Source organism: Homo sapiens, chromosome 7 (genome assembly GCF_000001405.40).
Source record: "Homo sapiens chromosome 7, GRCh38.p14 Primary Assembly".
Lineage (NCBI taxonomy): Eukaryota > Metazoa > Chordata > Mammalia > Primates > Hominidae > Homo > Homo sapiens.
The window spans coordinates 92,663,756-92,688,563 of NC_000007.14; the positions used below are offsets into that span (position 1 = coordinate 92,663,756).

The window sequence follows — 24,808 nt, forward strand, 5'->3', positions numbered from 1 at the left end:
TTTGTTCTTACTTAGAACTACCTTGTTTGCATTACTCAACCAAAATTGGACCTTTTCCTGGGTACCATCTTGGATATTTCCTCACTCATAAAAATGCTTTTTAAAGAGATCTTCCCAGCCAGGCACGGTGGCTCACGCCTGTAATCCCAACACTTTGGGAGGCCGAGGCGGGCGGATCAGGAGGTCAGGAGATCAAGACCACGGTGAAACCCCGTCTCTACTAAAAATACAAAAAATTAGCCGGGCACGGGGGCAGGCGCCTGTAGTCCCAGCTACTCAGGAGGCTGAGGCAGGAGAATGGTGTGAACCCGGGAGGCGGAACTTGCAGTGAGCCAAGATCGTGCCACTGCACTCCAGCCTGGGTGACAGAGCGAGACTCTGCCTCAAAAAAATAAAATAAAAAAAAAGAGATCTTCCCATTTGGCTGGTTCTTTAAAGGAAGAAAAAAAAAACAAAAACAGAGTCTAGGAAAATATCCAACAAAAGGTAAGAAATCTGAAAGTCTAAAGTGCCCTGGTTTCCATGCACGTGTTTCGACCTAACCTGAAATGATGGGTTTCTTCTCACAGGCTAGGGCGTGCCTTCTGGCACCCTGGTGTTCAGGTCAGCTTGTGAAGGACCTCATTTCCTGGATGTCACTAGGGAGGGTGCTCAACTATGGGGAGGCACCAACACAGTAACCAATGGGAAAATTGGCAAGGTAGTCAGTGACATTTTAAAGACATTTGCTCACTGACCACTGACCCACAAAGGACAGTTTCACTGTCAGTTTCTCAGCTACTGGTGTTTAATTCATAGAAATCAATGACGACAAGCCTAGAGAGGCCACCAGACAAGAGGCAATATATGACAAATCAGGAAGCCTTGTTTGTTTCCTTCTAACAGTGACTCTATTTGTTATATTCTTCCTGGTGGCATTTGGCATTTCTTAGCTATGGATTGGCAGAGCTGGCAACTCAGAACTTCTAAGAATTACTATCTGCTTGCCACAATCTTCGTATTCAAAGAAACATGTTTTATTTTCTTTTTTCTTCCTTTTTTTTTTTTTGAGACTGAGTCTCACTCTGTCACCCAGGCTGGAGTGCAGTGGCACGATCTCAGCTCACTGCAACCTCCACCTCCTGGGTTCAAGCGATTCTCCTGCCTCAGCCTCCCGAGTAGGTGGGACTACAGGAGCATGCCACCACGCTCAGCTAATTTTTTGTATTTTTAATAGAGACGGGTTTTCACTGTATTAGCCAGGATGGTCTTGATCTCCTGACCTCGTGATCCACCCACCTTGGGCTCCCAAAGTGCTGGGATTACAGGTGTGAGTCACCACGCCTGGCCGCATGTTTTATTTTCTAAATGTGCATTTTATGTGACTTTGCTGTAACCTGGAAAACCCCATAACTTTCAAACTACAGACAGTTCTAACTAGGATTACAAGGCAACCAATAGATACCTGGGGAGTTAATACTGTGAATTTATTTTGCTGTATAGTTAAAAATCAATCTATCACAACCATCCAATCATCCATCCATCCATCCATCCATCCATCCATCCATCCATCCAATCTCATCCTTTAAGCTGACTAGTTGGCCACTAACCAAATTTATAACAATTTTTTTTTAGTATTAAAATACAATTCAATGTGGAGTAAGGATGGGTTACTCTGGATGAAGAATTAAAGGAGAAAGATAAAAAAATGTAGCTCTTACCCATTTTGTAGAATACTTCTGTGGGCCAGTGTGGGCAGTTATTAAACCCAGATAACAGTGACAGATGATATTTAAACTCTCTGGCTCTTTGTCAACCATCTGCCCTATGACTCTCTTTACTGAGTTTATATTTCCTAGGTATTTCATTTTTGAACAAAAGACATGCACCTCTTAATAATATGACAGAGAATTGGCCAACCTTTCCAATACAGGACAGATTCTAAATCAAAGCTATTAAATACATGTGTGATTTGCTTCTTGACCACTCTAAAATATCATTGCTGCTACATCACAGTAATACACAAATCATTACAGAAAAAAATATGGCCTAGTAGGTCAAACAACAGCAATGGCAGAAACCCAGCAGAGTAGAAAAATCAAAGGCGATCGAGTCAGGCAGACATGGGGTCTTGGCTCTGTCATTTGATTGTTGTATGCCCATGGGCAAGTTATTCACCCTCCTTGTGGAAGGTCTAGTTCATTATCTGTAAGCTCTGGAAAGAAGTCTTCAGAATAGGGGTTTAAGCAGATAATGCACATGAAGGTGCCCCCAACCCCCAACTGCCAAGGCATGGGCCTGTCACATGACAAATGGTAACTCCCTTTGCTTCTTTTCTTCTCCCTAGGTTATGGAGGATGGTGAGCCTCGCTGACACATAAATGACTATTCCTCAAAGATTTTAAATAAACAACTAGGATGCGACCTCTAAAGAAGGTTAATCCCAACTGCTGGCCTTCCACTGAGAAATCTTCCCTCTCCAAAAACAGACTTGTCATTATACCCACTCACAGTACTCTACACTTCTTCACAGCATTTATCCCACCTCTGGTTAATTAACTAATTGTGCAGGCAATGGATTTTTTCTCTACTAGGATTTAAGTCACCCCTCTAGAAGTGGGCCTGGCATACAACAGTCACTCCATAAGTTAATTGTGGACTGAATGGAACACTTGTTATAGGGTTTCCAACATGTGACATATTACTGTTGGTGACATGTGAGATGATTTAGGGGATAAACATGCATGAACTTTCTGAATAGTTTTAGTGGTTATATATTTATTCTAATGTGTATCAGACAAATAAATAACCGGTCAAATCTCTGATTTTTATACACAGCCATGACCCTCATAATAACGTTTTGGTCAACAATGAATGAACCACATATGTGAGGGTGGTCCTAAAAGATTATAATGAAGCTGAATGATTCCTATCTCCTAGCCATCTTAACGTTATTGTAGTGCAGTGCATTACTCACTTCACATGTCTGTGGTGATGCTGGTGTAAACAAACCTATTGCGCTGCCAGTCATATTAAAGTATAGCACATATAATTATATACAGTACATAATATTTGCTAATACAAGACTCTGTTGCTGGTTTATGTATTTACTATATTATACTTTTATCATTATTTTAGAGTGTACTACTACTTATAAAAAGAAGTTAACTGTACAACAGTCTCAGCCAGGCCCTTCACGAGGTATCCTAGAAGAAGGCATTGTTATCACAGGGGATGACAGTTCCATGCATGTTATTGCCCCTGAAGCCCTCCTAGTGGGACAAGAAGTGGACAGGCAAGACAGTGATATTGACCATCCTGATTCTGTGTAGGTCTGGGCTAATCTGTGTGTTTCTTAGTTTTTAACAAAAAAGTTTAAAAAGTAAAAAAATAAAAAATTTAAAAATAAAAAAGCTTATAGAATGAGGATATAAAGAAAAGATTTTGTATAGATGTATAATGTTTTTGTGTTTATTTATTTATTTTTTTTAGACACAAGGTTATCTAGGCTAGGGTGTAGTGGCATGATCCTAGCTCACTGTCATCTTGAACTCCTGGGCTCCAGTGATCCTCCCACTTCAGCCTCCGGAGTAGCTAGTACTACAGATGTGTGCTACCATGTTCAGCTAATTTTTTATTTTTTGCAGAGATGGGGGTCTCACTATGTTGCCCTGGTTGGTCTTGAACTTCTAAACTCAAGTGATCCTCCTGCCCTGGTTTCCCAAAGTGTTGGGTTACAGTGAGCCACTGCATCTGGCTTGCTTGTGTTTTAAGATGTGTCATTACAAAAGAATCAAAAAGTTAAAAAATTTAAAAAGTTTTTTTTTTTTTTTGAGACAGGGCCTCCTTCTGTTGCCCAGGCTGGAGTGCAGTGGTGTGATCTTGGCTCACTGCAACCTCTGCCTCTCTTGGGCTCCAGTGATCCTCCCAACTCAGTCTTCCAAGTAACTGGAACTACAGGCACACACCACCATGTCTGGTTAATTTTTGTCTTTTTTGTAGAGACAGGGTTTCGCCATGTTACCCAGGCTGGTCTCGAACTCCAGAGCTCAAGCAATCCACCTGCTTCAGCCTCCCAAAGTGCTGGCATTACAGGCGTGAGCCACTGCACCCGGCCAAAAAATTTAAAAAGTTTATGAAGTAAAAATGTTACAGTAAGCCAAGGTTGTTATTATTGAAGAAAGAAAAATATTTTTAGATAAATTTAGTGTAGCCTAAGTGTACAGTGTTTATAAAGTCTACAGCAGTGTACAGTAACATCCTAGGCCTTCAATTCACTCACCACTCACTCACTGACTCACCCAGAGCAACTTCCAGTCCTGCAAGCCTTATTCATGATAAGCATTCTATATAGGTAAATCATTTTTTATTTTTTATACCATATTTCTACTGTATCTTTTCTATGTTTAGATACACAAATACTTACCATTGTGTTACAATTGCCTATGGTAGTCAGTATGATAATATGTCATACAGATTGGCAGCCTAAGAGCAATAAGCTATACCATATAACCTAGGTGTGTAGTAGGCTACACCATCTAGATTTATGTAAGTACATTCGACAATGTTCGCAAAATGACAAAACTGTCTAACAATGCATTTCTCAGAACATAACCCTGTCGTTAAGCAACACATGACTGTACTTTTGTTTAGGATGAGGCTAAATAAAAAAGTAAACTGACAGAGAGTAGTAAAAAAAACCTACGTAAATAATAGTACCAGTCTCATAAGAATATGGCAAAAACAATGAAGGTGATAAAGAAAGGACAAAATTTGGTAACTACTGCCTTAGCATCAAGTGGGTACCCAGAGTTTAGAAGTTCAAGACAACCAGGGCAGCACAGTGAGACCCCCATCTCTACAAAAAATAAAAGATGCTAGGATTCCCTGATTTAGGATTAGCCTAAAGCAATGAATGAGTCTGCTTTAAGAGCCTATGGCTTGTGAAGTCTCAACTGGGTCAATACTGAATCAGGAGTCAAGTCAGAACCAGGTCAAGCTGGTGATGGACCCCAGAACTCATCTGGCATAAGTAAGAAGCATGACACATGGATATCTGGGGGGTATCATAGGAAATACCAAGGACACAGGGTAGCCACCCTAGGAGGGATGGTATGATTGGCCTTGATTCACTCTCCTTTCAGCCTTAAAGGCATATGAACCTGGTTTCTGATACTGCTTCCTCCTTCAAGCAATTATTTCTCAAATTACTATTTTTGTGCAAGGCTTCTGGAGAAAGGGTACTTTCTTATGTGCACATTTGAAGTGCCAAAGGATCTCTACCCAATGTCTCACTTTTCCAGCAAACTGAAGCAGACTGCTGCCACTATCATCAAAGGAACCCTCCCCTGAGCCTCCAATATTTGAGTCCTACTTCTCAGTCCCAATGCTGAGATGGAGAGATAAGTATTCCTCTAGTCTTGGATTGGAACATAGAATGAATTTTCCCACAGAAGAAAAAATTTTGATGAATTAGCACAATGGGTGTTTTGTATATGTTCCAGGTCGTAGAGGATTCTGCAAGCTAGGCTTGGAATCCAGTGACCACTTATCACTTCAGTGGAAAATGCTTTTAACATTTTAAAATAAAATTTGTTCCACAAATGGAGATTGCCTATACAGCAAATTCCTTAGTAGTGAATACTTAATTCTACATATATAAAATTTTATCTTTCTTTTAACATCTTAAAAAAATTGACTTTTAGCATCAATCATGACTAGTATTCAAGTCTGTAATTGTTGAAGGACTCTGTCTTTACAGTTGAGACTATTCTAGACACATAAAGATAATTCCAATAAGCATTTCTGTAATCAACTCTTGGCTGTACCGAGTTATTCCTGCGATGAAGTAGAATGACTGTCTTAACTCCTACTCTGCTCTATTGACAGTAAATTATTCTTGGTTCTAACCATAAGCCTTTAACCCAATGTCTTCTACACTTGTTGGATGAAAAGAATCGCTGAAGGTACTTTTAAAAATAAGAATTCCTGGCCCCAGCCCAGTAATGAATCAGAATCTCAAGGGAGAGGCCTGGGAGCCAGACTTTTAAAGACTGCCCATCCCTGGTCATACTGTCATCCAACCCAGGGGTTCTTATCCTGGAGGCTGTATTAGGATCGGAGGACTTGTTGAAACACAGGTTGCTGGCTCCCAGCCCAAGAACTTCTGAACCAATAGGTCTGGGGTGGGGCCTGAGAATTTGCATTTCCAGCAAGGTGCCTGGTGATGCTGAGGTTCCTGGTTCAGGGACCATACTTTCAAAATCACTAATTTAGCCTGTTTGGCAAACACTGCAGCTGATTTCAGTATTACTTTTTCTCCCCGCTCCTTGGGAAAAAAGCAACACCAGAATAGAACTTGCAAGCTTCCTTTGGACTCATACCCCTGCTACTTCTTAGCTGCCTAATGTTAGACAAATAAATGTACCACTCCATCTCAGTTTGTTCTTATTGGTAGGACTAAGAAAGGTAGCATAAAAGAAGAGGTTTGACACTATACTTGGCACATGGTATGGCTGCATTAAACATCTGTTTACTCTGATCTCCTTGTGATGATCTCCTATCCTATGAGCCACAGATGAATTTGCTGAGTACTAGCAACAGTTCCAAAAATTTGTTACATGCACAAAACTTTGTTTGGTTAAAACCAACCAAACAACAAGCAAGCAATGGCTGACCACTTCTTTTCCTTGTGAGCTACCATGGAGCTACATTTTAAAGATACAATGGGAATATACTGTTTCCTAACTTACCTTTTCCCATGGAAATAAAAATAGAAAAGAAAAAAAAGATTAGATTATGATTAGGTTCTCTGTTTAATTTAGACTAGGCTGAACTTAGTACCCAGATATGGATTATTTTCCTGGCAGATCTTTATTATATTATTTGGCTATTTCTTGTGACCTGAAAATCAAACAAACGAATCACATGCTCTCTTAGAGGGAACTTAGAGGGCATCTAGCCTACGCACCAACCCTATAAATGCTACTGAAACATCACCAATGTGTGGAGGTCCAGCCTCTTCTTAGACACACAATGAAAACTCACTATTCTCACAAACCCCAATCCACTCTTCAGATAACTGTCTAATCATTAGATTTCTACCCCTTTTAACAAAAATCTTTCTTTTTGTAATTTCTGTATCCTTGGTCTTGTTTCTGTCCTCTATAGTACCTGAATATATCTAATCTCTCCTGTACACGGCAGCATTTAAAGTGCTCTGAAGTAGCACTGACATCCCCACTGCCTATTCTTTTTCAGCCTAAATATTGTTTTTTTCAACTATTCTCACTATCAAAATTCCATCAAAAAAGTTTTCATACACTTAACAGCCTTGGTTCTCCTCCTATGGATAAAGTCCACTTTGAGATATTTCTTCACTAAAAAAATGCGAAAATATGTGTTATTTTCACCATGTCCTATCATCACCAGTAAAACAATGTAACTTATAAGAACAGTGGGGTATTCCTTCCCAGGCAGAGTTTCCAGAAGCTGCAAGCTACAGTCATATAAAACAACACTGTAAGCACTGAGAAGGCGGTTTCAGGACAGGCTTGCAAGTGGTAGCCTGGGGTAGATGGATCTGGCCATCATGACCCCTAATGATAGAAATGCCATGCTGCCACTCAAATTCACAAAGATCCACAGTCTCTTTTCAAGGAAAGCAGAGTGAAACAAAATGTATTTCTTACTTTCTACGAAACATTTCTGCAAATATGCAGCCAACACTCCAGAGATCCACGGGGGTGGCGTAGCTGGACTGGAGCAAGACTTCGGGTGCTCTGTACCACAGCGTGACGACCTGCAATGGCAAGCGGATCCAAGTGTTACTGAGAAGGTGGCTGTTGGCTTAGACTCCTGACTAAACCTGGTGGTTTAATGACAAGATGTAGTTCAGAAAGAACTCCTATAAATCATATAAGGACACTGCGCTAGAAGCAATAGGTAAATAGGACTCATCACTGACAGGCCAGGAAATTACATCATCCCCACAAACTGGGTTCCCACCTCCAACTCTATGTCTAACTAGGATGGCATAATAACATGAGTTTCAGAAAGCAAAGACCAAAAAAATTTTTTTTAAACTTAGAAACCGTTTTTTTTCTCCCCCCCTTTAAGGGCCTTTAAAAAATAATACATGGAAAACAGGTGATGGCAACAATTACAGCTCAATCCCCAGGCCAGCATTATTGGCAGATTAGAAGATGATGGCATACAGAGTGGTGTAATGGACTTTGGAGACTCAGAAAGGGGGAGGGTAGAGAAAGGGGTGAAGGAGAAAAAACTACATACTGGGTAAAATGTACACTACCTGGGTGATGGGGGCACTAAAATCTCAGACTTCATCACTATACAATTCATCCATGTAACCCAAAACCACTTGTACCCCAAAAGCTGTACATATATATATATATATATATATATATACACATACACACACACACACACAGACACATACACACACACACACACACACACACACACACACACACACACACACACACACACATATATGAAGATGGTGCCAGGGCTGCTGGATGGTGTCCCTGAAGTCTACACAACACCCAGGACATGTCAAAACTGCTCTTACCGTGACAGCTTGGGGAATCAAAGTAAAACCCCTCTCCATGATGCTCTTTTCAGAAAACAAGTAAAAAGTGGGGAAGAACTTAAGAGAGAATGTGTAACCCAATTGTTCATATGATGTGTGAAAAAGCCAAGCAGAGGAAGGGATTCCAAAAAGACAAGAAACTCATTTAATACAGAGCAGCGTATAGTAATAGATGAAACAAACACAACAATTTTTCCTGCCAGGTTGAGGGCTGAAGAAAGCATATCATGTTAAGGCTGCAGATTTGAGTACATAGGGGGGGTTCAAGTGATTCCTTTTGTGGGGGAAGGGGCAGATAGTCTATGGATACCCTGGGAGGTGCATTCTTTATTGTCAGATAAGGAATTCAGAATATAAATCTATTACGTCAGAATTTTATATTATTCAGATCCCTTTTATCCTTATTGTTTTGTCTAGTTGTATTATTATGGATGTCTATCTAAATTTTCTAAAATTCTGCTTTATATATTTTGATGCTATATTACTTGGTGTGCTAAGATTGCAGTAGCAAGTCTCAATAAATGGCGGCTGCCATCAATTTCCTTCTCTCCTTATTTGCACACACTGTTGCTCGTATCAAGGGATGGATTTTATTCATCTTCCATTGAATCTGAGTTGGCCTTAGTGACTTACTTGACCTACAGAATATGGTAGACGTAATGTCTGAGACTACCAATGTTAGGTCATAAGAAGCCTGAGCCTAGGCCTTTTCTCTTGAGATGCTACCTCTTGGAACCCAGCTGTCATGCTGTGAGAAGCCCATGAAGATGCCCTGGTTGACAGCCCCAGTTGAGCTCTCAGCTGAAAGCCTGCGAATGAGCCATCTTGGACATTCAAGCCAACTGACCTCCCATATAACTGCAGTCCCAGACAATGTCACACAGAGCAGAACTGCCAGCTGAGTCCGGTCAACTGACAAGATTATGAGTGATAATAAAATGACCGTTTTAAGTCTTTAGATGATTATATGGCAACATCAAATTGGAAAAAGATTCTTGACAGGTTCCCCCTCTATATCTCATCTAACATATTTTGCTTTGAATTCACACATGGGTCAAGTTTTGTTTAAGTAATACTGGTTGATATCTAATGGAGGGATGGTTGTGATATAATAGAAATAAAAAACAAAACACAAAACTGACAATACTGAAACAATGTTACTCAAGTTACCATTTGGCCCCAACATATCTTTCTATCAATGCATCACCTCCCAGAGTATTTTCCATCAATGCATCACCTCCCATAGAACTTCCATAGCCTTTATATCCTAGTCACATCTATACTGCACCACTGGTTTTTAACCCTGCCTGTTCATCAAAATCCCCATGGGGTTTTAGAAAAACTTAGGTGTATAGGTCTTATCTTGTGCCACTGAATTAGACTTTCTGTGGGCTGAACTTTTTGGGTTGGAGTTTTCCTCTTTTGTTCCTTCCTTTTTTTTTTTCTTTTTGAGATGGAGTCTTGCTCTGTTGCCCAGGCTGGAGTGCAGTGGCATGATCTCAGCTCACTGCAACCTCCGCCTCCCGGGTTCAAGCAATTCTCCTGCCTCAGCCTCCTGAGTAGCTGGGACTACAGGCGCACGCCACCACACCCGGCTAATTTTTTTTGTATTTTAGTAGAGACGGGGTTTCACCATGTTGCTCAGGCTGGTCTCGAACTCCTGAGCTCAGGCAATCTGCCTGCCTCAGCCTCCCAAAGTGATAAGATTACAGGCATGAGCCACTGCGCCTCCCCCTTTCTTCTTTTTTTTTTTTTTTGAGTTCTTCAACTAATCCTCACCCTTGGCTATGTTTGAACACCACTAGATTATGCAAGCATATCCCATCGCTCTTGTCTCCATGCTTTTGTTTATATCATTTTCCTAGCCTGGGCAACTCTTCTTTCTCCTCTCCACATATGTAAATTTCACCTATTCTACAAGGCCTAGCCTAGATGCCAGCACCACCCTGTTGCAGCACCAGCTGCTATCTGAAAATCATACCTTGTAACATAGCTCATAATATGGTTTGTTCCTGAGGACATGGCCCTGCCTTAATCTATGTTTATATCTGTAAATGCCTATCACAGTACTGTAAACACAACAATAAGGGCTTATACACCTATCAAATTAATCCTTTTAAGGCAATCATTCCTAGAAAGATAACTGGGCAAAATTCAATGACCAGTCATTTCCAAAAGGGAAGGTATTGTTTTTGCTAAGAAGAGTGTCCAATACTGGGGTCTAGTTTTAGTTACATTACTTGTTTCTGCTTTATTAATATTTCTAGCTGGAGGAACACTTCTTTGCTTCCCTGACACACTGTAAACAAAACTGCAGGTGCAAACTGTCTGTAAGGTTCCACTTGAGTGGTTGACAGAAATACACAGATATCATGAAGGCACACACTTATCTTTCTACCTCAATTCAAAATAAAGTCTAGCAACATAAAAAGAAAAGTTTAATCTGAATACAGCCTTATTTTAAGCTGTTCTAAGGAAAATATTATTTCTTTCTTTTTTCTTTTTAGACAGGGTCTTGCTCTGTTGCCCAGACTGGAATGCAATGGTGCGATCTTGGCTCACTGCAATGTCCACCTTCCAGGCTGAAGCGAGTCTCGTGTCTCAGCCTCCCAGGTAGCTGGGACTACAGGCACACGCCACCACACCTGGCTAATATTTTTGTATTTTTTGTAGAGATAGGGTTTCACCATGTTGGCCAGGCTGGTCATGAACTCCTGGCCTCAGGTGATCTGCCCACCTCAGCCTCCCAAAATGCTGGGATTACAGGTGTGAGCCACTGTGCTCAGCAAGAAACTGGTTTCTGATTGATTACCCATCCTAAAAAACTTTAGTAAGGCTGACTGTCTTCATTTTCAATACTTCAGTCAGTTATACCTATTATGATAAATAAATGTATAGACAGTCAAAATCATAATAACAATATTGATATGTTAGGGAAATTCCCTCTATTCCTTTTAAAATTTAGTTACCACTCAAAATGTAGAATGAATTTTTATCAAATGCTTTTTAAAATGTCTATTAATAATGACCATATAATCATTTGCCTTTGTTTTATTAATGACGTATTAGTTACATTAACAGATTTCCCAATATTGTAGCATCCTTGCCTTCTTGGAATAAATCATTTCTGATTGTGTATTATTCTTTTAAGACACTCTGAAATTCTATTTGCTAGTATCTATTCAGGATATTGACTTATATTCATAAATGAGGCTGATCTGTAGTTTTCTTTTTTGTGTTAATTTTTCATGTTTTGTTATCAGGGATATTCAAGCTTCCAATCTTTATTATATTCTGGAATAGTACAAACAACAGAAGAATAATCAGTTTCTTGAGGGTCAAACAATCTCGCTCATAGAGCTGTCTGGATCTTTGTTAGCAGTGTGTCTTAACGGTCTTTTGAATTTCTTCTTGGTAATTAGTCTGCTCAGCTTTCAACCTCTTTAGAAGCCAATTTTCGTAATGATAAAGGATTTTCCTACGAACATTCTTAATCTAGATTTAAAAATGTATTGACTTAAATTTGAACATAGTATTTCTTATAATCATTTTAATTTCATCTGTTTCCTTGGTTATACTGATTTTCTTTTTCTTAATGTTGTAAATTTTTGTTTTCTCTTTATATCTGTCAGGTTTGTCAGAAGTTTAGCCATATTATTTATATAAAAAAACTGACATAATTTTATTTCCATTTTGGGAGGATTATTGTTTTATTTTATAATTTGTTGATTTCTATTTTTATCTTTTAAAATTTTCTCCTAATTTCTTTGTTGTTGTTGAGTTTTTTTTTGAGTTAAAATTTAGCTCATTTCTTTTCCATTTTAATTAATAATAAAATGCTAACTACATATTTGTAGATAAACTTTTCTCATTTTTGCTCATCTTTAAATACTATGTAATTTATCTTTAATTTAGAAAAGTGTTTTAAGATGTCCATATGGTCAGGTTATTTATGGCTATCTTTGAATGGTTGAATTTCTACTTTTATTGAATTACAACAGAGACTATGATCTGTACAATTTCTACTTGGTAGGATTTATTGTTGTTTTCTTTAAAATGATGTATATACTTGGTTTTTGTTCTGGGAGTGTAATGGAAGTACTGTCTTTGTAAAGTTCTTTATTGATAAGGGTTTGTCTTATATAAATCCTTACTTATATTTTTCTATACTTCATTTGTCAAACTCTAAAAGAGAGTTGAGTTTCTGTTTTCCTTCCCCCAGTATCTCAAATGCAAACATAGATAATGGTTTATAAGGAATATAAATATAATCTTTGAAATACTTCAGAATCTTTATTTTGTCAAAGTGAAGGTTTTCTAAACTGTGCTCTAATCTGTTTATTTGCATCAGAGCAATACAAAACTTTCTAATACATATGTTTTTCTCCCTAAAGAAAACTAGTATGGTTTTGTGAAGTGAAAATCAAAACTAGTGATAATTTCACTGACTTTTCACAGAGTTGCAAAATTTACAACTCTGGTGGGCGCTTGTAGTCCCAGCTACTGGGGAGCCTGAGGCAGGAGAATGGCGTGAACCCGGGAGGCGGAGCTTGCAGTGAGCTGAGATCGCGCCACTGCACTCCAGCCTGGGCGACAGAGAGACTCCGTCTCAAAAAAAAAAAAAAAAGAAAGAAAAGCGTTTCCATTACTTTCCAGTTCTCTATATGATATGACATCTACTCATCACTTCACATTTAATAAGTTCAATGAAAGCTAAAATTTAGATATCTCGTTTTTATCCTTAAGATTTTGCTCTAGTCTGTGTAAATCATTGTAACCAAGTGAGAGTGAAATTAGACTAACTTTATGCTTACACTCTATTTTAAACTATCAACATCTGTCTAAAGAGACATCATTTTTGGTTCAATCTTTGAGGAATTCAATTCCAAAAGAAAGTATAAATTGTTCAAGACTTACATTTCTAGTTAATTCTCTAATAAAATAACCCCATCAATGACCTGGGCCTACATTTAAAAATAACAAACTACTGGGCCAGGCGTGGTGGCTCATGCCTGTAATCCCAGCACTTTGGGAGGCTGAAGCAGGCGGATCACTTGAGGTCAGGAGTTCAAGACCAGCTTGGGCAGCATGGCGAAACCCTGTCTCTACTAAAAATAAAAAAAATTAGCCAGGTGTGGTGGCACACGCCTGTAATCCCTGCTAATAGGGAGGCTGAGGCAGGAGAATTGCTTGAACCTGGGAGGTGGAGGTTGCAGTGAGATTGTATCCCTTTAGTCTGGGTGAAAAGCAAGACTGTCTCAAAAAAAAGGAAAACAAACTACTATATTTTGCAATAGATATAAAAGAATAGCATTTTCTAATAGTTGTTTCCTGGTTTATGTAATATTATTCTATATATCAAGAGAGCATCCCCAGTTTTAATTTGTTAATTTACTTGGCTGTTCTATAATTTCTGAACCACAGTCTTTCAGTCCCTACATTAAGTCACTGAAATTTTAATTATCTCAAATTATGACAACTTCTGTAATTTCATAGGATTTAAAATATCTACTGCAACTAAATCTGGATCCAAGTTTTTGAGAACAAATTGCAACAAATTTTCCTGACAGTAAAATATAAATTCCCTTTGCTTAGACATTATTATACTTCTGTGCCTCTAAAAACTTCTGATGGAAGACTGCTGAACTTAAAACCAGTTTAAGTCATGCATGAGCAGAAGCTTATTTTTATTTGAAAGCTTTATAAAGAATGAATAATATCAATAAAATTGTTTCAAGGTTTTAGCTCGTGAAAGTTCTCAACAATATAATCAATTCTACCAGAAGTTCTGTTTAATAATTCTAAATATCCTTAAAAAGAAAATATAATGGTAAATTTAAATTTTAAAACATGTTGAGGAAAACAATGAGTGCAATATATAAAGATCAACATTTAGAAATCCGTAACAAAAGTCGCTACTAATGGTAACAATGCAGTTGTCTAGTAAGCAAAGACAATAGGAATTATGGACAGAGTTTGGTGATTGGAGCCAGCTGGAACCAAAGCAAATACCATGTTTATTACAATCATTACATGTATTAACAGCCTCTAGAGGTGCTGAATGGATGTGGCAACAGGAGGGGGAGCGGAAGGCAGGGGGGAGTTCAAGGATATTTACACAAGTGGATGTATCTGTTTAAACTGCTTTGATCTCTATTCACATTTTTTTGAACCTGTTCAATAATAGTATAAGAAAAAGTACAGCCAAGGCCAACTCTGACTTAAAATACATTTCAGAGTAAACCGCTCTCACTTGATGTTATATTTAACAATCTTTTATCATGTACCCTTTCACCAAGGTCTTGAAAAAATTAGATGTTATCTGATTCATCCTCATTATATGGCCACAATGGCAGAAAAGCATGGTATGAACACTGTGCTGGATGTCTTCTTTTTGTTGCCCCAGATAGTCTCTGCCCTAGAAATGGACCTGTATCTGCCATATGCCTCCAGTTTCTTACTGGCTTTGGCCAATGGGAAGTCTCGGCAGGAATTCAGAGAGAAGGAGAAGCATGAGGTCAGGATCCTCAACTCTTTGATTTTCCTCCCAGCAAAGCTGTCTAGAACTGACTGTGTTGCCACCACAAAGTCAATGTCCATCTCAGGAAGCCTGCTCTACTTGCTTTCTTCCTCCTGGATTCCAGTAACTGCTTCCCCTCTTCTTCTAGGGCCTGGGAATGGTAATGAACTGACTGCGAGTAAGACTCAGGTCATAGCACCATCCCCTGAGTTCCCCTAAGCCCACATCTCTGCAAATCATGCCTGTGTCAAGAAATCCTTGAACTACTTGAGTTTGAGTGTGCCATCTATTTCCTGTTGGGACCCTGGCTGATACATCCTGTTTATAGATGGAGAAACCAGCGTGGGTGGCAACTTCTTCTCCAAGTTTCAGTTTTCTCATCTGTTAAAGAAGATGTTTGGACTGGGTAATCTATAAGGTGTCCTCTGTTAACATTTTAAGACTCCCTAAATGATATGGCAATGGCAATGAAGATTTAAAAAAACATATATACTTTATGGACCCAACAACGTTATCGTTAAATATCTTTGCTGTCCTTTGGTTTAGTAATTACTTATGGAGTGTTCCAGTGTGGTGATATTCTCCTTCTCGGGCCCACTTCAACAACATGTCTCAAATACAAACATAGATAATGGTTTATCAGGAATATAAATATAATCTTTGAAATACTTCAGAATCTTTATTTTGTCAAAGTGAAGGTTTTCTAAACTGTGCTCTAATCTGTTTATTTGCATCAGAGCAATATAAAACTTTCTAATACATATGTTTTTCTCCCTATAGAAAACTAGTATGGTTGTGTGAAGTGAAAATCAAAACTAGTGATAATTTCACTGACTTTTCACAGAGGTGCAAAATTTACTTCTTTTTTTTTTCGAGACAGAGTGTCACTCTATAGCCCAAGCTGGAGTGCAGTGGTGTGATCTCGGCTCACTGCAACCTCGGTCTCCCGGGTTCAAGTGATTCTCCTGCCTCAGCTTCCCCAGTAGTTGGGATTACAGGCGTGCACCACCATGCCCGGCTAATTTTTTGTATTTTTAGAGACAGAGTTTCGCCATGTTGCCCAGACTGGTCTCGAACTCCTGACCTCAAGTGATCCGCCCTCCTTGGCCTCCTAAAGTGCTGGGATTACAGGTGTGAGCCATCGTGCCCGGCCATAATTTAGTTCTTCAAAATTACATATTTAAATGAAGAATATTATAAAGAATTGGAATTCTAATTCTGCCAAGCACAGTCTTCTCATTATAACACCTTAACTGGTTATGGAAACTATTAAGAATTAAATACTGGCCAGGTGTGGTGGCTCACACCTGTAATCCCAGCACTTTGGGAGGCTGAGGAGGGCGGATGACCTGAGGTTGGGAGTTCGAGACCAGCCTGACCAACATGGTGAAACCCCGTCTCTACTAAAAATACAAAATTAGTCGGGCATGGTGGTGCATGCCTGTAATCCCAGCTATTCAGGAGGCTGAGGCAGGAGAATCGCTGGAACTCAGGAGGTGGAGGTTGCGGTGAGCCGAGATCACACCATTGCGCTCCAGCCTGGGCCAACAAGAGTGAAATTCCATCTCAGAAAAAAAAAAAAAAAAAAAAAAAAAAAGCATTAAATACCCATAAAATAATAATGGAGTCATCTCAAATTCACCCATTTGTAATCTAAGGGCTAGAAGGAGATGTTTTGACATATGGCAAAAAAATGTCTGAGGTCAATACAAAGATGAGAGTCTCACAGCAGGGAGCGCTGTGCCAATAACTTTGTCCTCACCTCTGCTCTGATGCATCCATTACCAGCAGAAGGGCTGTATTTCCTCACATCTACAGCTGCCTTGGCTCACATGGGGCCACTGGCTCCCTTTAGATATGTGGATGTCCCATCACCTGCTATTGCTGGTGTGGTTCTCTGATTCTCTCTCTGGGATTCTCTTTCTCTGAGTCTCTGCAGGTCCAGATCCTACCCATCTTTCAAGCCTCACTCACATATTGCTTCATCCACAAAGCCTTTCCTGATCTCCCAGCTGGAAGTAATGGCTCTTCTCTGAGCTTCCACTGCACTTCTATAGTACTTGACCCTTTCTATCTTGCATTATAGCTTTTCCATTTCTTGGCCACAATACATTTACAGTGTCATGCATGGAAGGTGCTCAGTAATTATCTGATAGCTAGATACATCAATAACCACAGGAAACTCCCAGTGGCAGTGCTGAAGATGGATAGAGGCAATCACCTAGACTGGAGAATATGAGGACAATACTGTCCCATAATAACTTAATATCTTTGAGTAATCATGTATCTTTAACAGAGGAAATGATCCTGTGGAGGGAAGAGCACTACCTGATTAGCTTCAGAGATTGTGTAAGAAGACTCACAGGGCAATGAAAGGCACAGGGAAAATGAGCTGAATGGGTGTTCCCTCCAAGTAGAGAGGAAAGGCATCTTGGGGGAAGAGAGCCACTCAGTAAACAGGGGGGCTGTGTACTCGTGTCAGGGGAGGGATGAAAATGACTCACTGAAGGACCAGCAAAGGTAGAATTCAGGGATCCAGGTTTCTGACCTTTTGTGATATCAGTGGCACTTGCCATTTCTTACTGAGTCGTACACCTCTCCCCCATTTTATCTATGTCTAAGCAGATCTACCTACAAAAGGCCTAGACAGCAAGCCTTTAGGTCAAAGTAAGCTTCCAGTCAATTCATCATGTGAATGTCTACTCTGTGAGGTACCATGTTAGTCCTGGACAGTGTGGTCGCAAATTAGGAAAGCAATGAGTTAAATGAGTTGGCTGAAGTACAACTGGGTTGGAGGGAGGGGTGGTGTCTGTGTAGCAATTTAAGTGCAGAATGCTACGGTCCTGTCCTAGTGTTCCTCCTGCCTTTGTCTCTTTTAAATTATTGCTTAATCTAAGGCGACATCCTCAGGCAGTCACTTTTCTTACATGAAGCACAATCCTTGTGGAGCACTCCATGTGCCTGTCCCCACCCCCGCTCCAATCCATGCTGTATTCAGAACTCTGCAGTCTCTGACCCACAAATCCAACTGTCTCCCGGACATCACTACTTAGTGCTGCTACCAGTATCTCAAATTCAAAATGCATGCATTGTCATTCCTCTGAAACTTGCTTTTCCTATATTTCTTCTCTCTGTAAGCAAAATCGCTACCTACCCAGTTTCCCTACTTCTCTTGACTTTCAATGAAGCCACCATCAGATCCCGACAATTCCATCGAGAGCATGTCCTCTCCTGGATGGTCCAAATAGCTTCCTCTGTGGTCTTTTCCTGCCAACATGCCCCCTGCCACTCTGTCTTCTTTACTGCATCTGAAGCTGTGCTCACCACTCTCCTGCTTAAAATCCTTCATCCATTCTCTGGAGATTTCAGGGTCAAGCTCAACTCTAATTTACCTCCAATGCTCTCATAATCTGGTTCCCACCCACTCTCTGCCTTCATTGTCTGTTCCCCCTTCAGATGAAGGCTTTCTTTAACTTGTCAGAGACCGTGAGGTTCTTTAAACATGTGTGCTATGTCGTGCCTCATGTGGTCTTCCCATAGGCCCTTCTCTGGAATGCCCTCTTCACAACCCCATTCTTAATTCCTGTGAACCTTGCCCTGCCTAGTCCTCCGCAAGCATAAATGATTGCAGCACTTACATTGCATCTCAATCATTGTATCCTTACGGTCTACTAGGCCCAAAGCCAGCCCTTTGAGGGTAGAGAGTATTTCTAAGTGGACTTTTAATCCCAGTCCCTCGCAGAGTGTTGTATAAAGCAAGCATAAAATAAACATATGTTCCAACAAATGTATGGGTAGCCAGAAGACAGCAGAATGGAGAGTTACAGGATAAGGAGGGATAACACAGGGCAGGACAGAGTGTTTCTATTATAGTATAAATTTTATAGGCCATAGTTGTGTCCCCATGTCCACACCAGGCATTCTGAGAGTCCACCAACATGATCTTTAGTCAACAGATGACTTTTTAATAAAGTGCAAGGACCATTTTATTTTTGTAAAATGAAGTTTTAAAATGCCTGAAGGGCCTATGTTTTCCTTCAGGCTGCACTGTTTAAATTTCCTCTTGAACTCGTGAAACTTAAAATAGTTACCACTTATTAAACGTCTATTATGTTTAAAGTAACAAACTCATTCTCTTTGTAGAAGTACAGTATAGTATAGTTTTGATTTTGACACTAAACAATCATACATTTGATCTCCCTCTGCTTTCACCATAGAAACCAAGCAAATATTTGCAGACATTCCTTCAACCTTCACAGATAAGTAGAAATGAAAATTATTCTGAACACAGGATATGGCAGGCTGCAGGGCTCATTGTTTCCTCTTAGAAGTTGTTTTAACTCTTAAGGAAATCTATTTGCTTTGAGAGGCCACATTATTACTCAGATTTGTAAAAGAATTTAAAAATTGGGTTTTTCCTTGCTATGGAAACAGTCAAATGCCTCTAAGGTCCGTGCCTTCTTTCTCATTGGTTACTATGCTCCTTTTGACACAGGTTGCAAGCAAACCTACTAAATGAGTACTAGCAGGTTATATGGTTAGTGCAAGTGATGAGGGAAATGGAAGCATAGTTTTAAAATCCAAGTTCAGGCACACACATTCTTCAACATTTTAAAATTCCATGAGCACTGCCTTCCTTAAATGGGGAGGATTTGCAGATTGTCAGGTGGAAGCAGTCATGAAGGTATAGCTCATTCAGCTCATTCTGCAGTACGCTCTCCTCCTCAAACACTCCCATCTGAAATGGGTCATCGAGATGCATGCAGGAAAATAAAACCAGCCACAACATTTCCCAGTAATCCAGGCTACCAGAAATGAATTTATAGTCTACAGAGGACTGTGGTGGGGGGGGGGTCCCCACTATATTTTGTGCTTTAAGCTATTAAAGGAAAGACATAAAGAAAATATGCTTCTGAAGATTAGGGTGTTTCATGCTGTTCATTTAGCAAGATTAAAACTGCAAACAGAAAAGGAGGACACATCTGAGAGAAGGACTTAGATTGCAGCATTAGGAATTTGTGTTAGACAGAAGGAAGTATTTTCTGACAATAAGAACTGTTAAATACCAGAATGGATTACTGTGGGGCCTTGTAATGTTTTCTCTTCTCTAAAACTTTTCATTTTTATTTTGAGTGTAAATAAGTAGGGGGCTACGGAAGGAGAGAAAGGAAACATTTGTAAAGCACAGAAGATGTAATGTACTGCGCTGAATTAACTTTATCTGTTGTCTTATATAATCTTCAGTTTAATGGTGTGAGGCGAGTATCAACGACTCTATTTTTACAGATAAGGAAGCTGAGAATCACAGAAGAGCCAATGGCAGAACCAGGATCTGAAGCAGGTCTTATTGAACTCAGGTTCATTCTCCTCACTGTGGAGTCTAAATGACCTCAGGTCTTTTCTTTTTTGGTCTTAAGCCTAATTACAATAAAAAAGTTTGTATTTCCAGAATAGTCAACATTTCCATAGTAATGCAGTTTACCAGAAAAGCTGACAAAAACAAAAGAAGTTGTTTTTCTAAGATAATGGGACCCCAAGGGATTTCACCAAGATAGCTGCCAGTTGAGGGATCAGGGTCATGGATGTGCAAATGACTGGGTCCTGGATGGAGGGTAGGGAAGGTTTGCCTACCCACAATGTTCTGCACAGGAGCCAGAAGTCGGGCACTGTGTGCACAGGCATGTCTATGCTGTTCCCTAGATCCCTTCCCTGAAGACCAGGCATCACCCTTCCTCCCTAACATTTTCTCCTTTTGTATTCTATCTCTGCAAATGAGACCACCATCTCACCAGCTGCCCATGTCAGGCTCTTCCTCAAAATCACCCCTCACCCATTTATGCAGATGTAGTGTAAAAAGGGTGCCTTCTTGTTTACAAAAAAACAAAATGCACAGAAGACTAGAGCTGTGGAAATAGGAGAGAAGGAAAATACACAATTTAGGGAACCTAAATACTATGACCCACCATTTTCTAACACAGTCACTAAGCAACATTAAAAAAAATCATATTACTTGACATAAGAATTCTTTGGTTTTGAACACAGTGCAATTGTATGGACTCGACGACATTATCTAGATTTTACCATCTGATTTCAAAGTTGCTAAAAAAAAAGGTCTAATATGTAATATGTGTCCTAGCCCTTTATTTAATTTCCTCTTTCTTTTATAACACAGTTTTGCTGTACTTACTGAATTTTAAATGTCCTCAAAATCTAAAATTCATTTCATATCTCTTCTATGAGCAGAGATGAAAGAAAGGATCATTGAAAGGGAATATAGTTCTGTTGATTAAATAATTACAGAATATATACATTCATTTGCTCTTAATGAGCCACAATGCTTTTCTTAAAATTGTCTCAGTTTCTAGGAAGAACCACACTAATACCAAGGACTTACAGAGTATTTCTAGGTATATCCGCTGTCAGGAGAGATACATGTGTGAACATAAAAACCAGCGGAAGGCTTCTCACCTAGACTCAGGGACTCATGCTGCATGCGTGTTGGGGGCAGTGTGGTTGCTGCATGCAAACACTACTTGAAAGGAAAAGTAACCCTCTGAGTTTGAGTAAAACTTGGCTTCTAACTCAGAACTAATTCAAAGAAACGCTATATTTCCATTTATAAACATTTCAAAGAATGTTACTGCTTTCTAGAAACCTGTGGCAGGTAGCTTCTTTTATCCTGGAAACTGTTAGGGCTTTCAAAATGGCCTAAGAAATATTCCACAAAAATTATAGCATACCATTATTTTGCACTAAACTCCTGCACTAGGCCCCAACAGACTGGACTAAAAGTTAAAATGGAGTCACTTATGCTCACCAAACCAAAACTGGGTAAATCAGGAGAGACAGAGAAGTCAAAAGAGAAAGACAGCCTAATTTCCCAAACAGGCCAGTTTCTATCTTAAATCAGCATGACAATGAAGTTCCCTCTGTTTTAATCTTTACAATAGAGTAACTTGAAGTAACCTGATGTTAAGCAGTTATCTATTGTTCTGTCTCCCTGTCCCTTACATGGACGTAACTTTGAAATGACCAAGCTGCTTTCCGTTCTTTTGTTTCTGCTTTCTTCTGCCCCTTTTCTGTCTATAAAGCCACTCTCCTTTGTTTGACTAACTGGAACACTTACTCTATTTTACAGAATGTGGTGTTGCCCATTTCTAGAATTGCAATAAAGCCAACTGAGATCTTTAAACTAAATTTGTTGGAATCACAGAAGTGATCACAGTGATATCTAAGAAAAACATGTATTACATATTTTAACTATCTTTTAGTAACTGAAAGTACTTTTTTCTCATTTATGTATTTATTTATTTTTGTACATGAGTAAGTTCTTTAGCGGTGATTTCTGATTTTGGTGCACCCATCACTTGAGTAGTGTACACTGTACCCAATGTGTAGTCTTTTATCTCTCACCCTCCTCCCGCCCCTTCCCTGAATCCCCAAAGTCCACTGTATCATTCTTATGCCTTTGCATCCTCATTGCTTATGAGTGAGAACATACCATGTTTGGTTTAACGTTCCTGAGTTACTTCACTTAGAATAATCGTCTCCAATTCCATCCAGGTTGCTGCAAATGCCATTATTTTGCTCTTTTTATGGCTGAGTAGTATTTCATTATATATATAATGAAATATATATATACCACATTTTCTTTATCCACTTGTTGACTGATGGGCATCTGGGCTGGTTCCATATTTTTGCAATTGTGAACTGTGCTGCTATAACATGCATGTGCAAGTATTTTTTTCGTACAACTTATTTTCCTTTGGGTAGATACCCAGGAATGGGATTGCTAGATCCAATGATAGCTCTACTTTTAGTTCTTTAAGGAATCTCCACACTGTTTTCTATAGTGATGTACTAGTTTACATTCCCACCAACAGTGTAAAAGTGTTCCCTTTTCACCACACCTGTGCCAACATCCATTTTTTTTTTTATTATGGCCATTCTTGCAGGAGTAAGGCAGTATTGCATTGTGGTTTTGATTTGCATTTCCCTGATAATTAGTGATGTTGGACATTTTTTCATATATTTGTTGGCCATTTGTATATCTTCTTTGGAGAACTGTCTATTCATGTCCTTAGCCCACTTTTTCAAAGGAATGTTTGTGGTTTTTTTCTTGCTGATTTTGTTTGAGTTCCTTGTAGATTCTGGATATTAGTCCTTTGTTGGAAGTATAGATTGTGAAGAAAAGTACTTTTAAATCACTATTGTAGATACTTAAAAGAGAACTCTGACATATGGCAAAAATAGAAGCAGGGCCTCGTGATACCCTCTGTGAAAGTCTTCCAGAATATTCTGAGAGACGAAGCAGATTCCTACTCCACACTCCTGCAGTACACCTCTCTTACAGCCCTTGCTGACATCTGGTGTGACCAGAAGAATCTGCTTCCATCTCTGTTACCCCCATAAAATTGAATGCTACAGTGGCAGGGACTGGGGTTTACTAGCTAATCTTTGGATCCCCAATGCTTAGTGCAATATCTGACACACGGCAAGCATTCAATGACTATTTGTTAAATGTATGACCAAGAAAAGTATCTTTTCTGATAAAGAAGTTCTTCCAAATTTGCCCCCAAACTCCAAAAAATGAACTCTGTCCAAAGCAGCAAATCAAAACAAGGAGGAAAAAATCCATGTGTTTGTGTAATTCTGAAGGTATGAAAAGTGTTCTAGATTAACAACTACGGCAATAGAATAAAATTTATACATAATAGCTTAAAAAAGATTTCTTGTAAAGAATAATTTTGGCCTCTGTTGGCATTGGTTCATATACATGTATAATTGCCTAAGGCATTTATTTATCTATTTATACTGAGGTGTACACAAATCTTAACATGTTCGATGTATCTTTACACATGTACACACCTATATAAACACCACTCAGACCAACATATAGAATACTTACATCACCATCACCACAGAAGGTCCTCTTGTATTTTTCCTAGCAATACCATTCCTGCACCCCTATTTATATAACCATAGATTAATGTTGCTGCTCCTTGAATTTCATATAAAGGAATCATGTGTTTTGCTTCTTTTGCTCAAGATAATATGTAAAAACTGTGTATGCTGTTGTAGTTATCAGTATATAGTTTTCTCCCTTTCATTGCTGTGTAGTATTCCATTGCATCATTATGCCAGAGTTTGTTTAGCAATTTTTTCTGTTGATGGTTATTTCTAGTTTTTGGATATAGTAAAATAAACATTCTGCTTTGAACATTTTTGTACATGTCTCTTGTTGGATACAGGCATGCATTTCTCTTGGGTATATACAGGGAGTAGGCAAACGTTTAGTAGATACTACCAGTTTTCCAAGTGGTTGAACCATTTTACACTCCCACCAGAAATGTATGAGAGTTACAGTTTCTCCGCATCTTGGCCAACAGTTGATATTCCCAACCATTCGAATTAGTGTGTAGTGGTACTTTCTATACTTTTGACTGAATAATTTGTATTCTAAAAGGATAATATAATCTGGATTTATTAAAGCACTAACTGGACTTTCTTGGTAATGACAGAATAAATAGTGTCTGTCATTTGTGACTAACATTTTAAATTGTCTTAAACTACTGTGTGACTCAGTAGTTCAAGACAACTGTAAAATATTAGGCTTTTTTTCTGACTTTTGTCCCTTCTATGTCGGACTTAGCAAACTCCCAACTCTTTAAGCATCTGTTTGTCCTCCTCTTGAGGTG

At 39.1% G+C, this 24,808-nt stretch overlaps 1 protein-coding gene across 3 annotated transcripts in view; it reads right to left on the minus strand.

Annotated features, from left to right (window-relative positions):
* CDK6 (cyclin dependent kinase 6) overlaps positions 1-24,808 on the minus strand; it is a 231,653-nt gene that overhangs the window by 58,835 nt on the left and 148,010 nt on the right. For all 3 annotated transcript variants that reach the window (NM_001145306.2, NM_001259.8, XM_047419716.1), the window contains exon 5: positions 7,671-7,780. In NM_001145306.2, the coding sequence (NP_001138778.1) occupies positions 7,671-7,780 (110 nt within the window). The remainder of the gene's footprint in view (positions 1-7,670; positions 7,781-24,808) is intronic.